Raw genomic sequence first — 16,318 nt, 5'->3', positions numbered from 1 at the left:
AAAATTAGCTGGGCATCCGGGCCTGGTGGTTCACGCCTCTAATCCCAGCACTTTGGGAGGCCGAGGCGGACAGATCACAAGGTCAGGAATTAGAGACCAGCCTGACCAACGTGGTGAACCCCATCTCTACTGAAAATAAAAAATTAGCCGGGTATGGTGGTGCCTGCTTGTAATCCCAGCTACTCAGAAGGCTGAGGCAGGAGAATCGCTTGAACCCGGGAGGTGGAGGTTGCAGTGAGCCAAGATCACACCACTGCGCTCCAGCCTGGGCGACAGAGTGAGACTCTGTCTCAAAAAAAAAAAAAAAAATTAGCTGGGTTTGTTGGTGCACACCTGTAGTCCTAGCTGCTTGGGCAGCTGAAACACAAGAATCACTTGACCCCAGGAGGTTGCAGTGAGCGGAGAATGGGCCACTGAACTCCAGCCTGGGTGACAGAGCAAGACTCTGTCTCAAAAAAAAAGTTGCCACAATAAGATGATGGCACTTAGCAAAAGGACAGCAGGAAAGGAGAAAGGAGCTGTGGCCTGTCCCCCATACCTGTGACTTCCTGCACCTGTGACCTCCCCCACACAGATGTGACCCATGCATACCTCTGAGCTACCCCACCCACACCCAACACACAGAGGTGATCCAGACCACACCACTGTGACCTTTCCCACCTAGCTATGACCCCTACATACCTGTAACCCCTCCCATGTGTGACCCCATACAGCTGTTACCGTCTCCAAATAACTGACTCCTCCGCAACTGTGACCTCTCCTGCATAGCTGTGACCAGTACCCATCGAGCTGTGACCCCCTCCATATAAACCTTTATGAACCTCACATTTCTTCCCCCGGAGGACCTAAAAGATGGTCCTAGGGAAAGTGCAACTCAGGGAGAGCCAGCACTGTCCTGTGGGGAAAGCGGGGAGTGGGTAGGAATAAGGTAATGGGGAGTGATGCGGCTCAGAGATCTGAAGTGTTGAACAACCGGAGACAGCAGGCGGGACTGGACCATCAAGCTGATGGACCCCAGACATATGCGCACACACACACCATTTGAGCCAATCCTACTGGACCAGCCCAGTAGGAGCAGGCCTGTGGGCAGGGCCCTGGGGTGGAGGAGGATTTCAGGCACCCTCAGATTCTTCCTATGGTTCCACCATTAGAGCTTCTCCCTTGGACTGAGGCCAGCTGGAGAATGCTGGCCTGGTGGTTACCTGGATTGGGCCAACTGCAGCACTAGGTTTCTGGGGGCACCAGGAGGTGGCATGAATCCTTGAGGAGGGGGGCCAGGGGTTGCCTTGATGTTCTGTTCCCTCAGCCCTCAAGAGTTGTGCCAGGCTCTCTGGGCCTACATGGTCATCACTCTGGGACCCTGCTTCCTGAACTGGATCAGCAGTCACCACTTCTGGGGCTTGATCTTGTGTACAAGTCTCATGCTGTCCCCAGCATCCTGGGCCCTTCTTTCCCTCAGCCCTGCCAGCTTTTCTATCCCAGGCAGCCTGTAGGACCCAACCCAGATGGTAGTTAACTGTGAGTTTCGTTGCTTCAGTGGCCACCGTGCCAGGGGTGGCCTGGCTACAGTGGCTCAGTCTCAGACTTGACTCAGATCCAGGTAGCACTTTCACTTGGGCAGGGACATGGTGTTTCCTTCAACCTACTCTGGCAGGCAAGGCTGGGCCCAAGCACCTAGCAGGTGTCAATAACCAGCTTCTGAATCAGCTGTGAACCCAGAAAATCTGACAAAGGTCTCAGTTAACTTAGAAAGTTTATTTTGCCGAGGTTGAGGACTTGCTGGTGACACAGCCTCAGGAAGTCCTGAGGACATGTGCCCAGGGCGGTTGGGGCACAGCTTGGTTTTATAGATTTTAGGGAGACATGAGACATTAATCAATATGTAAGAAGTACATTAGTTCCAGAAAGAAAGGTGGAGACTGCTCAAATCAAGGCTCCCAGGCTCAAAGCACTGGGGGCTTCCAGGTCACAGATAGGTGAGAGACAGATGGTTGCATTCTTTTGAGTTTCTGGTAAGTCTTTCCAAAGGAGGCAATCAGAATATGCATCTATCTCTGTGAGCAAAAGGATGACTTGAATAGAATGGGAGGCAGATTTGTCCTGAGCAGTTCCCAGCTTGAAGAGGCCCAAGATACTTTCCTTTCACATTTACCCCATTTTCTTTTTCAAAATCTTTTGGAGAAAGCATTTTGCAAGAAAATGAGTATCTGGTCTCAGGTTTCATCTGATCTCTCATTGCTAGATAAGTAGGTCCGGAAAGCTCATTTTTAGCAGGTTGTAAAGTCTCATGCAGTGTGAAGAGAAAATAGGGAGAAGGAAGGAAGAGAAAAAAAAAACAGCAAAAGAACAATCCCAGCCCTGGCGGGGTGGCTCATGCCTGTAATCCCAACAATTTGGGAGGCTGAGGCGGGTGGATCACCTGCGGTTGGGAGTTCGAGAACAGCCTGACCAACATGGAGAAACTCTGTCTCTACTGAAAATACAAAAAACTAGCCAGGCATGGTGGCTCATGCCTGTAATCCCAGCTACTCAGGAGGCTGAGACAGGAGAATCACTTGAACCCAGGAGGCGGAGGTTGCAGCAACCTGACATTGCGCCATTGCACTCCAGCCTGGGCAACAAGAGTGAAACTCCATCTCAAAAAAAAAAAAAAAAAAAATCCTGGGAAAATATAGGCCACATTACTCTGAAGTCCATACATTGGTAGGCAGGTATGAAAGTGGCTTATGTATGTACATAAACAGGTTACTGTTACTTTCTTCTGAAGTGTAAGTTGTCTGACTTTAGTTGACACGCTTTTAAGAAACCACAGCTAGGGCCGGGCGCAGTGACTAACGCCTGTAATCCCAGCACTTCGAGAGGCCGAGGCGGCCGGATCACAAGGTCAGGAGTTCGAGACCAGCCTGGTCAATATGGTGAAACCCTGTCTCTACTAAAAATACAAAAATTAGCCAGGCATGGTAGCAAGCGCCTGTAGTCCCAGCTACTCGGGAGGCTGAGGCAGGAGAATTGCTTGAACCTGGGAGGCATAAGTTGCAGTGAGCTGAGATCGCGCCACTGCACTCCAGCCTGGGTGACAGAGCGAGACTCCATCTCAAAAAAAAAAAAAAAAGAAACCACAGTGGCCGATTGCAGTGGCTCCCCCTCCCCCTCCCCCTCCCCTCCCCCTCCCCCTCCCCCTCTCCCTCCACGGTCTCCCTCTGATGCCGAGCGGAAGCTGGACTGTACTGCTGCCATCTCGGCTCACTGCAACCTCCCTGCCTGATTCTCCTGCCTCAGCCTGCCGAGTGCCTGCGATTGCAGGCACGCGCCGCCACGCCTGACTGGTTTTCGTATTTTTTGGGTGGAGACGGGGTTTCGCTGTGTTGGCCGGGCTGGTCTCCAGCTCCTAACCGTGAGTGATCTGCCAGCCTCGGCCTCCCGAGGTGCTGGGATTGCAGACGGAGTCTCTCAATGGTGCCCAGGCTGGAGTGCAGTGGCGTGATCTCGGCTCGCTACAACATCCACCTCCCAGCAGCCTGCCTTGGCCTCCCAAAGTGCCGAGATTGCAGCCTCTGCCCGGCCGCCACCCCGTCTGGGAAGTGAGGAGCGTCTCTGCCTGGCCGCCCATCGTCTGGGATGTGAGGAGCCCCTCTGCCTGGCTGCCCAGTCTGGAAAGTGAGGAGCGTCTCTGCCCAGCCGCCATCCCATCTAGGAAGTGAGCAGCGCCTCTTCCCGGCCGCCATCCCATCTAGGAAGTGCGGAGCCTCTCTGCCCGGCCACCCATCGTCTGAGATGTGGGGAGCGCCTCTGCCCTGTCGCCCCGTCCGGGATGTGAGGAGCGTCTCTCCCTGGCCGCCCCGTCTGAGAAGTGAGGAGCCCCTCCGCCCAGCAGCCGCCCTGTCTGAGAAGTGAGGAGCCCCTCCGCCCGGCAGCCACCCTGTCTGGGAAGTGAGGAGGGTCTCCGCCCGGCAGCCACCCCGTCCAGGAGGGAGATGGGGGGGTCAACCCCCCGCCTGGCCAGCCGCCCCGTCCTGGAGGGAGGTGGGGGGGTCAGCCCCCCGCCCGGCCAGCCGCCCCGTCCGGGAGGGAGGTGGGGGGGTCAGCCCCCCGCCCGGCCAGCCGCCCCGTCCGGGAGGGAGGTGGGGGGGACAGCCTCCCACCCGGCCAGCCGCCCCGTCCGGGAGATGAGGGGCGCCTCTGCCCGGCCGCCCCTACTGGGAAGTGAGGAGCCCCTCTGGCCGGCCAGCCACCCCATCCGTGAGGGGAGGGGGGATCAGCCCCCCGCCCGGCCAGCCGCCCCGTCCGGGAGGGAGGTGGGGGGGTCAGCCCCCCGCCTGGCCAGCCGCCCCATCCGGGAGGTGAGGGGCGCCTCTGCCCGGCCACCCCTACTGGGAAGTGAGGAGCCCCTCTGCCCAGCCAGCCGCCCCGTCCGTGAGGGAGGTGGGGGGATCAGCCCCACGCCCGGCCTGCCGCCCCGTCCGGGAGGGAGGTTGGGGGGTCAGCCCCCCGCCCGGCCAGCCGCCCCATCCGGGAGGGAGGTGGGGGGGTCAGCCCCCCGCCCGGCCAGCCGCCCCGTCCGGGAGGGAGGTGGGGGGGTCAGCCCCCCGCCTGGCTAGCCGCCCCATCCCGGAGGTGAGGGGCGCCTCTGCCCGGCCGCCCCTACTGGGAAGTGAGGAGCCCCTCTGCCCGGCCAGCCGCCCCGTCCGGGAGGGAGGTGGGGGGGGGTCAGCCCCCCGCCTGGCCAGCCGCCCCATCCGGGAGGTGAGGGGCGCCTCTGCCCGGCCGCCCCTACTGGGAAGTGAGGAGCCCCTCTGCCCGGCCAGCCGCCCCGTCCGGGAGGGAGGTGGGGGGGTCAGCCCCCCGCCCGGCCAGCCGCCCCGTCCGGGAAGGAGGTTGGGGGGTCAGCCCCCCGCCCCGGCCGGGAGGGAGTTGGGGGGGTCAGCCCCCCGCCCGGCCAGCCACCCCGTCCGGGAGGTGAGGGGCGCCTCTGCCCGGCTGCCCCTACTGGGAAGTGAGGAGCCCCTCTGCCCGGCCACCACCCCGTCTGGGAGGTGTACCCAACAGCTCATTGAGAACGGGCCATGATGACAATGGCGGTTTTGTGGACTAGAAAGGTGGGAAAGGTGGGGAAAAGATTGAGAAATCGGATGGTTGCCATGTCTGTGTAGAAAGATGTAGACGTGGGAGACTTTTCATTTTGTTCTATACTAAGAAAAATTCTTCTGCCTTGGGATCCTGTTGATCTGTGACCTTACCCCCAACCCTGTGCTCTCTGAAACATGTGCTGTGTCCACTCAGGGTTAAATGGATTAAGGGCGGTGCAAGATGTGCTTTGTTAAACAGACGCTTGAAGGCAGCATGCTCGTTAAGAGTCATCACCACTCCCTAATCTCAAGTACCCAGGGACACAAACACTGCGGAAGGCCGTGGGGTCCTCTGCCTAGGAAAACCAGAGACCTTTGTTCACTTGTTTATCTGCTGACCTTCCCTCCACTATTGTCCTGTGACCCTGCCAAATCCCCCTCTGCGAGAAACACCCAAGAATGATCAATAAAAAAATAATAATTAAAAAAAAAAAAGAAAAAAAAAAGAAAAGAAACCACAGTGGCCGATTGCAGTGGCTCACTCCTGTAATCCCAGCACTTTGGGAGGCCGAGGCGGGCAGATCACGAGGTCAGGAGATCGAGACCATTCTGGCTAACACGGTGAAACCCCATCTCTATTAAAAATACAAAAAAAAAATAGCCGGGCGTGGTGGTGGTTGCCTGTAGTCCCAGCTACTCAGGAGGCTGAGGCAGGAGAATGGCGTGAACCTGAGAGGCGGAGGTTCAGTGAGCTGAGACCCTGCCACTGCACTCCAGCCTGAGTGACAGAGCGGGACTCTGTCTCAAAAAAAAAAAAAAAAACACACAGCTTAGTTTTCAGTGACTCCAAATTAGGAAAATGAAAAAAAAGAAGGAAAAAAATTGAAAACTTAATTTGAAGACTTGTAGCCAAGAAAAATTCATTCCAAACTGTAGAAAATCATAAAAATTGGAAGCAAACAAACAAAAAAACAGTTAAGACTAGAATCTAACAACAGGTGAACATTCGTTTTGAAACATGATTTTATTCTCTCTCCAATTTCCCATTTTACTAAAGACAAATCATGGTATGACTTGTTTGCTTATTATACTTGGCCTAAATATTTGTATACAGTGCAGCAAGAATAATTTATTTTGTCCCATAAGAGGAATCTCAGGTAAGACTTTTTAAAGCCCTGCCCAGCCATGGATTTGTGCCATCAAATACCCATGAGTTGGATGGAATTTCCTCTCCTTTCAAGTTCCAAGATAAACATAAACCTGGGGCCTCTGTGCCTGTCAGAAAGTGACATCCTTTTTTTTTTGATCAGGCTAGTCTTGAATTCCTGACCTCAGGTGATCCTCCCGCGTTGGCCTCCCAAAGTGCTGGGATTACAGGCATGAGCCACCACTCCTGGCCCCAGAAAGTGACATTCTTTACTTACCACAGGTAAGAAATCCTGTACAGGGACTGTGTACACAAAATGTGAGGCCAGTTTTCCCAAGGGCTTTATTGGCTCCATAAGTTAAGTTTGATTCCTTAAACGAAAGCACACCATTCCTGTCAAAGTCTTGGTCAAATAATCAATTCCTCCAATTGTGTCCTGTTACAAATGAAAACAGATTCTTTTTTTTTTTTTTTTTTTTGGTGGAGTCTGGCTCTGTTGCCCAGGCTGGAGTGCAATGGTGCAATCTCAGCTCACTGCCACCTCTGCTTCCCAGGTTCAAGCGATTCTACTGCCTTAGCCTCTGGAGTAGCTGGGATTACAGGCATGTGCCACCATGCCCAGCTAATTTTTGTGTTTTTAGTAGAGATGGGGTTTTGCCATGTTGGCCAGGCTGGTCTCGAACTCACAACCTCAGGTGATTTGCCCACCTTGGCCTCCCAAAGTGCTGGGATTACAGGAGTGAGCCACCATGCCAGGCAAAAACAGATTCTTATGGCACTTATGCAAATAACTGTATTGCCATAAGTTAAGAATACTCACAAATAGTTTCCAAATTCTGGAGAAATCAGGTAGAGAAACAAATATGCTCCAAATTTTGTTCATAGGACTGTACTAAATTGTTAAAAGCTGTTGGCCAGGCACGGTGGCTCACGCCTGTAATCCCAGCATTTTGGGAGGCCGAGGCAGGCAGATCACGAGGTCAGGAGTTCAAGACCATCCTGACCAACATGCTGAAACTCTGTCTCTACTAAAAATACAAAAATTAGCCAGGTGTAGTGGTGTGCACCTGTAATCCCAGCTACTCGGGAGGCTAGGGGAGGAGAATCGCTTGAACCCAGGAGCCAGAGGTTGCAGTGAGCCGAGATCCTGCCATTGCACTCCAGCCTGGGTGACAGAGTGAGACTTCGTCTAAAAAAAAAAAAAAAGGCCAGGCACGGTGGCTCATGCCTGTAATCCCAGCACTTTGGGAGGCCAAGGTGGGCAGATCACGAGGTCAGGAGATCGAGACCACGGTGAAACCCTGTCTCTACCAAAAATACAAAAAATTAGCCGGGCGCGGTGGTGGGCGCCTGTAGCCCCAGCTACTCAGGAGGCTGAGGCAGGAGAATGGCATGAACCTGGGAGGTGGAGCTTGCAGTGAGCTGAGATCGCGCCACTGCACTCCAGCCTGGGTGACAGAGCGAGAATCCATCTCAAAAAATAATAATAATAATAATATATAATACGACAACGTGGCCTGACATGGTGGCTCACGCCTGTAATCCTAGCATTTTGGGAGGCCAAGGCAGGCGGATCACCTGAGGCGAGGAGTTTGAGACCAGCCAAGCCAATATGCTGAAACCCCATGTCTACCAAAAATACAAAAATTAGCCAGGTGTGGTGGCACATGCCTGTAAACCCAGCTACTGGGGAGGCTGAGGCAGGAGAATCACTTGAACCCAGGAGGCAGAGGTTGCAGTGAGCCAAGATTGCACCACTGCACTTCAGCCTGGGCAACAAAGCAAGACTCTACCCTGAAGAAAAAAGTATACGACAACTTGATTATATAAAAGTTTTTGGGTTTTTGGCCGGGCACGGTGGCTCACACCTGTAATCTCAGCACTTCTGGAGGCCGAGGCAGGTGGATCACGAGGTCAGGAGATCAAGACCATCCTGGCTAACATGGTGAAACCCTGTCTCTACTAAAAACACAAAAAAATTAGCCAGGCATGATGGCGGGCCCCTGTAGTCCCAGCTACTCAGAAGGCTGAGGCAGGAGAATGGCGTGAACCCGGGAGGCAAGCTTGCAGTGAGCCGAGATTGCGCCACTGCACTCCAGCCTGGGTGATAGAGCGAGACTCCGTCTCAAAAAAAAAAAAAAAGTTTTTGGGTTTTTTGTGACTTACACTGACTGTTCATGACATGGTTGGACTTTCCAATTTGTTCTGAACATCCCTCCTTTTTATTTATTTTGGGTTTTTTTTTTTTTTTTTTTTTTTTCAGATGGAGTCTTGCTCTGTCACCCAGGCTGGAGTGCAGTGGCATGATCTCCGCTCACTGCAAGCTCCGCCTCCCGGGTTCACGCCATTCTCCTGCCTCAGCCTCCCGAGTAGCTGGGACTACAGGCGCCCACCACCACGCCCAGCTTAATTTTTTGTATTTTTAGTAGAGACAGGGTATCACCATGTTAGCCAGGATGGTCTTGATCTCCTGACCTTGTGATCCGCCCGCCTCGGCCTCCCAAAGTGCTGGGATTACAAGCGTGAGCCACTGCGTCCGGCCCTATTTTGGTTTATTTTTTATTTTTTATTTTTTTCTTGAGACTGAGTCTTGCTGTCACCCAGGCTGGAGTGCAGTGGCATGATCTCAGCTCATTGCAACCTCTGCCTCCCAGGTCAAGCGATTCTCCTGCCTCAGCCTCCCAAGTAGCTGGGATTATAGGCACACACCACTAAGCCTGGCTAATTTTTGTATTTTTAGTAGAAACAGGGTTTCGCCATGTTGGCCAGGTTGGTTTCAAACTCCTGACCTCAAATGATCCTCCTGCCTCAGTCTCCCAAAGTGCTAGGATTATGTGTGAGCCACTGCACCCGGCTTATTTTTTTTTTTTTTTAGCAGAGTCTTGCTCTGTCACCCAGGCTAGAGGGCAGTGGCGCAATCTCAGCTCACTGCAACCTCCGCCTTCCAAGTTTAAGTGATTCTCCTGCCTCAGCCTCCTGAATAGCTGGGATTATAGGTGTGGGCCACCATGCCTGGATAATTTTTGTGTTTTTGTTGTTGTTGTTGTTGTTGTTGAGATGGAGTCTTGCTCTGTCACTGAGGCTGGAGTAACAGTAGCATGATCTCGGCTCACTGCAACCCCCACCTCCCAGGTTGAAGCAATTCTCCTGCCTCAGCCTCCTGAGTAGCTGGGATTACAGGCACCCACCACCATGCCGGGCTAATTTTTGTATTTTTAGTAGAGATAGGTTTCACCATGTTGGCCAAGCTGGTCTCAAACTCCCGACCTCAGGTGACCCGCCCACCTCGGCCTCCCAAAGTGTTGGGATTACGGGTGTGAGCCACCACTCCCAGCCAAAAAAAATTTTTTTAATCTTATTACCATATTTCAGCTAGAACAAAATGCTGCTAAAGTAACAATGATCACACAAAGTATATGATTTCTGAGTGCTGTAAGTGTAAGCAGAAGTTAACACCAGCTGGTTGTTAAATGCTAACTTTAGTCATTTAAAGGAAATTGCAAGGCAGAATCCCAAGCCAGTTTCTTACCTAGTGATGGGTCTCAGGCTGTAGACTGCTCTCTACCATCCCAGAAGCAGGAAAAAAAAACTAATTTTCCCTGTTGGAAGCGAGCTCAAACTCCATAAAGGAGTTACCTGCCTTCCATCGTCATGGAAGCAGAAAAACTTGCTTTCCTTTTGGGAGCAAGTAAAACTCCAAAAAAAAAAAAAAAAAAAAAAAGAGTTGTACAGCAAAATAAACTTTAGATCTCAACCAATTGAGAAATCAAGGATTCTCTGGAGGGGGTGCTCCCAGACCTCAGCAAATTGTCCTATTGGTTTGAGCCATAAAGTTAGCTCCTGCTGGTACCAAGCACAGATAGGCAATTAGTCAAAAGTCAAGGACATCTCCACACAGAATCCATCCATAGTTACCAAATGTGAACCCAGAAAATCTGAGACAGCTCTCAGTTAATTTAAAAAGTTTATTTTGCTGAGGTTGAAGATGCATCCAAGACACAGCCTCAGGAAGTCCTGATGACATGTGCCCAAGGTGTTCCGGGCACAGCTTGGTTTTATACATTTTAGGGAGATATGAGACATCTATCAATACGTAAGAAGTACCTTAGCCAAGCGTGGTGGCTCAAGCCTGTAATCCCAGCACTTTGGGAGGCCAAGGTGGGCAGATCACAAGGTCAGGAGTTCAAGACCAGCCTGGCCAATATGGTGAAACCCTGTCTCTACTAAACATATAAAAATTAGCTGGGTGTGGTGGCACGCGCCTGTAGTCCCAGCTACTCTGGAGGCTGAGGCAGGAGAATCGCTTGAACCCGGGAGCCAGAGGTTGCAGTGAGCCGAGATCATGCCATTGCACTCCAGCCTGGGCGACAGAGTGAGACTTCATCTAAAAAAAAATTAGGCCAGGCGCGGTGGCTCACACCTGTAATCCCAGCACTTTGGGAAGCTGAGGCAGGCAGATCACAAGGTCAGGAGATCGAGACCATCCTGGCTAACACGGTGAAACCTCGTCTCTACTAAAAATACAAAAAATTAGCCAGGCGTGGTGGCGGGCGCCTGTAGTCCCAGCTACTCGGGAGGCTGAGGCAGGAGAATGGCATGAACCCGGGGGGCAGAGCTTGCAGTGAGCTGAGATCGCACCACTGCACTCCAGCCTGGGCGACAGAGCGAGACTCCGTCTCAAAAAATAAAAATAAAAAAAAAACAGAAGTACATAAGCTCTGTCCAGAGAGGTGGAGACAGCTCAAAGCACGGCCCCCCACTGGGGGCTTCCAGGTCACAGGCAGGTGACAGACAGATGGTTGCATTCTTTTGAGTTTCTGGTAGTCTTTCCAAAAGAGGCAATGGAGGCAATCATAATATGCATCTATGTCTGTAAGCAAAAGGATGACTTGAATAGAATGGGAGGCAGATTTGTCCTGAGCGGTTCCCAGCTTGAAGGGGCCCAAGATATTTTCCTTTCACATATTGAACAAGTGAAACCACAAATGAATGAACAAGCATGTGCTCACTGACAGCTCATATGCATGGTCACACAAACACAGGATCTCATGCTCACAAGACAGCAGGGCTCACACACACCCAGTCCCAGGCACTGGGTTCCACACTCACACCTACTTGCCACTGGAATTTGTGCAGAGGCTCAGATGGTCACTAAATGGGGCTTCACAAAGACACAGTCACTAACCCAGCACATATACAAAGGGTGATGACACAGCCCTGACTTCATGAACACAGTGCCTTTCAGAAACAGGTCCCTACAACAGGGATGACTTATCCACTAAGCACAATAGACCCAAGGCCTAGGGCCACAGTACTTTCAGGGGCCCACAAAATGTTTTTTTAATCAGAAGAAGAATATAAATGTAAATATATTAATAATTAATATATAATAGTGTAACCCAGACATGACCTCCTGGGCTCAAGCACTCCTCCTGCCTCAGTGTCCCAAGTAGCTGGGACTACAGGTACATACCACCATGCCCAGCTAATTTTTAATTTTTTTGTAGAGATGGGGTCTTGCTACATTGCCTAGGCTGGTCTCGAACTCCTGGGCTCAAGCAATTCTCCCACCTCAGCCTCCCAAAGTGCTAAGACTATAGCCATATATATATATATATATATATATATATATATATATATATATTTTTTTTTTTTTTTTTTTTTTTGAGATGGAGTCGCTCTCTGTCACCCAGGCTGGAGTATAGTAGCACAGTGGAGCAGTCTTGGCTCACTGCAACCTCTGCCTCCCGGGTTCAAGGGATTGTCCTGCCTCAGCCTCCCGAGTAGCTGGGATTACAGGCGCCTGCCACCACGCCCGGCTAATTTTTTGTATTTTTAGTAGAGAAGGGGTTTCACCATGTTAGCCGGGATGGTCTCGATCTCCTGACCTCGTGATCTGCCACCTCGGCTTCCCAAAGTGCTAGGATTATAGGCGTGAGCCTCCGCACCTGGCATGCCTGGCCATATTTTAAAATATTTTTTTTAAGGAGGAAAAGATCCACGAAAGTAAAGTGCCTAGGGCCCATCAATGTCAGATGCAGCCACGTGGACAAAGAACACTCCCTGAGCACAAGACACGAAAGAACCCGGTCTCCAGTGTCACAAACAGGCCTGCCCAGCAGGGTCTGCCCCTGCCCACCTCCTCCAGCCTAGGTAAGGCCACAAAGCCCTGCCCTAGTGCTGACAGCGTGGGAGGGGCCACTGTTGGCCCAGCCCCACCCCCAACCAAGATCCCTTTGCCAGGGATTCAGAGGTAGCCCTGATGCCTGGCTGGCCTGGCCTCCTAATCCAAGGCCCGCCCCTTGGCCCGCCCCTGGCCTGGGTGGGGTGACCCCCTACAAAAGCTCAGAATTTCCAGCAGCGGCTCCTTCCTCCAGGAGTCTCTGGTGCAGCTGGGGTGGAATCTGGCCAGGCCCTGCTTAGGCCCCCATCCTGGGGTCAGGAAATTTGGAGGATAAGGCCCTTCAGCCCCAAGGTCAGCAGGGACGAGCGGGCAGACTGGCGGGTGTACAGGAGGGCTGGGTTGACCTGTCCTTGGTCACTGAGGCCATTGGATCTTCCTCCAGTGGCTGCCAGGATTTCTGGTGGAAGAGACAGGAAGGCCTCCCCCCCTTGGTCGGGTCAGCCTGGGGGCTGAGGGCCTGGCTGTCAGCCACTCTTCCCAGAACATATGTCATGGCCTCAGTGGCTCATGGGGAAGCAGGGGTGGGCGAGCTTAGGCTAGAGCAAGTCCTGTGGGAGATGGCAGAGGCCTGGTCTGAGAGGCAACTCGGATGTGCCCTCCAGTGGCCATGCTCCCCTCCATGCGTCTCCCCTGCCCTCCTGGAGCCCTGCAGGTCAATGTTTAACAGAAACCAGAGCAGCGGTGGATTAATGCGCAAGGGCTCAGCCCCCCAGCCCTGAGCAGTGGGGGAATCGGAGACTTTGCAACCTGTTCTCAGCTCTGCCTCCCCTGGCCAGGTTGTCCTCGACCAGTCCCGTGCCATGGCAGCCCACCTGCTTCCCATCTGCGCCCTCTTCCTGACCTTACTCGATATGGCCCAAGGCTTTAGGGGCCCCTTGCTACCCAACCGGCCCTTCACCACCGTCTGGAATGCAAACACCCAGTGGTGCCTGGAGAGGCACGGTGTGGACGTGGATGTCAGTGTCTTCGATGTGGTAGCCAACCCAGGGCAGACCTTCCGCGGCCCTGACATGACAATTTTCTATAGCTCCCAGCTGGGCACCTACCCCTACTACACGCCCACTGGGGAGCCTGTGTTTGGTGGTCTGCCCCAGAATGCCAGCCTGATTGCCCACCTGGCCCGCACATTCCAGGACATCCTGGCTGCCATACCTGCTCCTGACTTCTCAGGGCTGGCAGTCATCGACTGGGAGGCATGGCGCCCACGCTGGGCCTTCAACTGGGACACCAAGGACATTTACCGGCAGCGCTCACGGGCACTGGTACAGGCACAGCACCCTGATTGGCCAGCTCCTCAGGTGGAGGCAGTAGCCCAGGACCAGTTCCAGGGAGCTGCACGGGCCTGGATGGCAGGCACCCTCCAGCTGGGGCGGGCACTGCGTCCTCGCGGCCTCTGGGGCTTCTATGGCTTCCCTGACTGCTACAACTATGACTTTCTAAGCCCCAACTACACCGGCCAGTGCCCATCAGGCATCCGTGCCCAAAATGACCAGCTAGGGTGGCTGTGGGGCCAGAGCCGTGCCCTCTATCCCAGCATCTACATGCCCGCAGTGCTGGAGGGCACAGGGAAGTCACAGATGTATGTGCAACACCGTGTGGCCGAGGCATTCCGTGTGGCTGTGGCTGCTGGTGACCCCAATCTGCCGGTGCTGCCCTATGTCCAGATCTTCTATGACACGACAAACCACTTTCTGCCCCTGGTGAGTCTTCTGTAACCTGCCCACCTTGTCAACCTGCCTTGTCAGATATTAGGTCCAGCCTTGGGGTACTTTAGCTTTGGGACATTTTCTTCGTTTTTTTTTTTTTGAGACAGAGTCTCACTCTGTCACCCAGGCTGGAGTGCAGTGGCACGATCTTGGCTCACTGCAAGCTCTGCCTCCCGGGTTCATGCCATTCTCCTGCCTCAGCCTCCGAGTAGCTGGGATACAGGCGCCCGCCACCACACCCAGCTAATTTTTTGTATTTTTTAGTAGAGTCAGGGTTTCACTGTGTTAGCCAGGATGGTCTCAATCTCCTGACCTCGTGATCCATCCGCCTCGGCCTCCCAAAGTGCTGGGATTACAGGCGTGAGCCACCGCGCCCGGCCCCCAACCTTGGGACATTTTCATCCATTCATTCATCCTTTTTTTTTTTTTTTTTTTGAGACGGAGTCTTGCTCTGTCACCCAGGCTGGAGTGCAGGGGCAAGATCTCAGCTCCTGCACCCTCCACCTTCCGGATTCAAGTGATTCTCCTGCCTCAGCCTCCCAAGTAGTTGGGATTACAGGCATGCCATCAACATGTCTGGCTAATTTTTGTATTTTTAGTAGAAATGGGGTTTCACCATGTTGGCCAGGCTGGTCTCGAACTCCTGACTTCAGGTGATCCTCCCACCTCAGCCTCCCAAAGTGCTGGGATTACAGGTATGAGCCACCGCGCCTGGCGCATGGGCACATCCATTGAGTGTGCACTTGGTGCCAAGTTCTGTGCCAGGCACAGGCAATTCAACATTTATTGGAATGATGTAGTCCCTGTCTGCATGGAATTCATAGGCTAGAGGAGGAAGCAGTTTGCCTCTGGTCCCATGGCCAGAGCAGCCCCAGGTGAAGGTTATGAATTATTTGTCCCATCTAATGGTGTTCCAGCAGTCTGCCACATGGTGGGAAGGAGGCCCCACAGAGCTGTGCTGTCTCCTTCCCAGGATGAGCTGGAGCACAGCCTGGGGGAGAGTGCGGCCCAGGGGGCAGCTGGAGTGGTGCTCTGGGTGAGCTGGGAAAATACAAGAACCAAGGTGAGCTTAGGCCTGGCATGAGGGTGGGGGTGGGGGAGGGGTGGGGCCATTAAGCTGACGGGGTAGACCCTGACTTACCCTTTCTACCTGCAAAGTCCTGGCTGACCAGCAGGTGAGTGCCTCAGTGCCCTGGGTGGGTCCATACATGGCCATGGTGTCCCTGACGCTATCCTCCCTTCCCACCTAGGAATCATGTCAGGCCATCAAGGAGTATATGGACACTACACTGGGGCCCTTCATCCTGAACGTGACCAGTGGGGCCCTTCTCTGCAGTCAAGCCCTGTGCTCCGGCCATGGCCGCTGTGTCCGCCGCACCAGCCACCCCAAAGCCCTCCTCCTCCTTAACCCTGCCAGTTTCTCCATCCAGCTCACGCCTGGTGGTGGGCCCCTGAGCCTGCGGGGTGCCCTCTCACTTGAAGATCAGGCACAGATGGCTGTGGAGTTCAAATGTCGATGCTACCCTGGCTGGCAGGCACCGTGGTGTGAGCGGAAGAGCATGTGGTGATTGGCCACACACTGAGTTGCACATATTGAGAACCTAATGCACTCTGGGTCTGGCCAGGGCTTCCTCAAATACATGCACAGTCATACAAGTCATGGTCACAGTAAAGAGTACACTCAGCCACTGTCACAGGCATATTCCCTGCACACACATGCATACTTACAGACTGGAATAGTGGCATAAGGAGTTAGAACCACAGCAGACACCATTCATTCCATGTCCATATGCATCTACTTGGCAAGGTCATAGACAATTCCTCCAGAGACACTGAGCCAGTCTTTGAACTGCAGCAATCACAAAGGCTGACATTCACTGAGTGCCTACTCTTTGCCAATCCCCGTGCTAAGCGTTTTATGTGGACTTATTCATTCCTCACAATGAGGCTATGAGGAAACTGAGTCACTCACATTGAGAGTAAGCACGTTGCCCAAGGTTGCACAGCAAGAAAAGGGAGAAGTTGAGATTCAAACCCAGGCTGTCTAGCTCCGGGGGTACAGCCCTTGCACTCCTACTGAGTTTGTGGTAACCAGCCCTGCACGACCCCTGAATCTGCTGAGAGGCACCAGTCCAGCAAATAAAGCAGTCATGATTTACTTAGCTGTTTACTGAGCGCCTAAAATGTCCAGGCCCCGGTATCCAAAGGGCACAGG

At 53.3% G+C, this 16,318-nt stretch overlaps 1 protein-coding gene across 7 annotated transcripts, besides 2 other annotated features; it reads left to right on the top strand.

Annotated features, from left to right (window-relative positions):
* HYAL1 (hyaluronidase 1) lies at positions 3,773-16,261 on the top strand. Of its 7 annotated transcripts, NM_153281.2 has the most exons (6): positions 3,773-3,890; positions 6,377-6,495; positions 12,201-12,366; positions 13,174-14,097; positions 15,077-15,166; positions 15,354-16,261. In NM_153281.2, the coding sequence occupies exons 4-6, from the start codon at positions 13,198-13,200 to the stop codon at positions 15,669-15,671; spliced, it is 1,308 nt and encodes a 435-aa protein (NP_695013.1). In that variant the 5' UTR covers positions 3,773-3,890; positions 6,377-6,495; positions 12,201-12,366; positions 13,174-13,197; the 3' UTR covers positions 15,672-16,261. The 7 variants fall into 7 exon arrangements, 6 of the variants coding, with proteins under 6 accessions (NP_695013.1, XP_011531970.1, NP_695017.1 ...); XM_011533668.3 differs by lacking the exons at positions 3,773-3,890; positions 6,377-6,495 and having other exon boundaries at positions 12,171-12,366; NM_153285.3 differs by lacking the exons at positions 3,773-3,890; positions 6,377-6,495; positions 12,201-12,366 and adding an exon at positions 12,580-12,688 and having other exon boundaries at positions 13,949-14,097.
* Positions 12,162-13,096: an enhancer, noted in NCBI's record as "H3K4me1 hESC enhancer chr3:50340489-50341423 (GRCh37/hg19 assembly coordinates)". NCBI's record gives its function as "activates a minimal SCP1, AML or CMV promoter by ChIP-STARR-seq in naive H9 embryonic stem cells {active_cell/tissue: H9 hESC(naive)}" and the evidence as "EXISTENCE:reporter gene assay evidence [ECO:0000049][PMID:30033119]".
* Positions 12,175-12,344: an enhancer, noted in NCBI's record as "experimental_70532 CRE fragment used in MPRA reporter constructs". NCBI's record gives its function as "activates a minimal promoter by MPRAs in K562 erythroleukemia cells, with activity observed for the non-introgressed 3:50341326 variant allele {active_cell/tissue: K562}" and the evidence as "EXISTENCE:reporter gene assay evidence [ECO:0000049][PMID:34662402]".

Source organism: Homo sapiens, chromosome 3, assembly GCF_000001405.40.
Source record: "Homo sapiens chromosome 3, GRCh38.p14 Primary Assembly".
In the NCBI taxonomy this organism is placed as follows: domain Eukaryota; kingdom Metazoa; phylum Chordata; class Mammalia; order Primates; family Hominidae; genus Homo; species Homo sapiens.
Note: the sequence above shows the minus strand (reverse complement) of the source record. Positions and strands in the feature narration are given on the sequence as shown.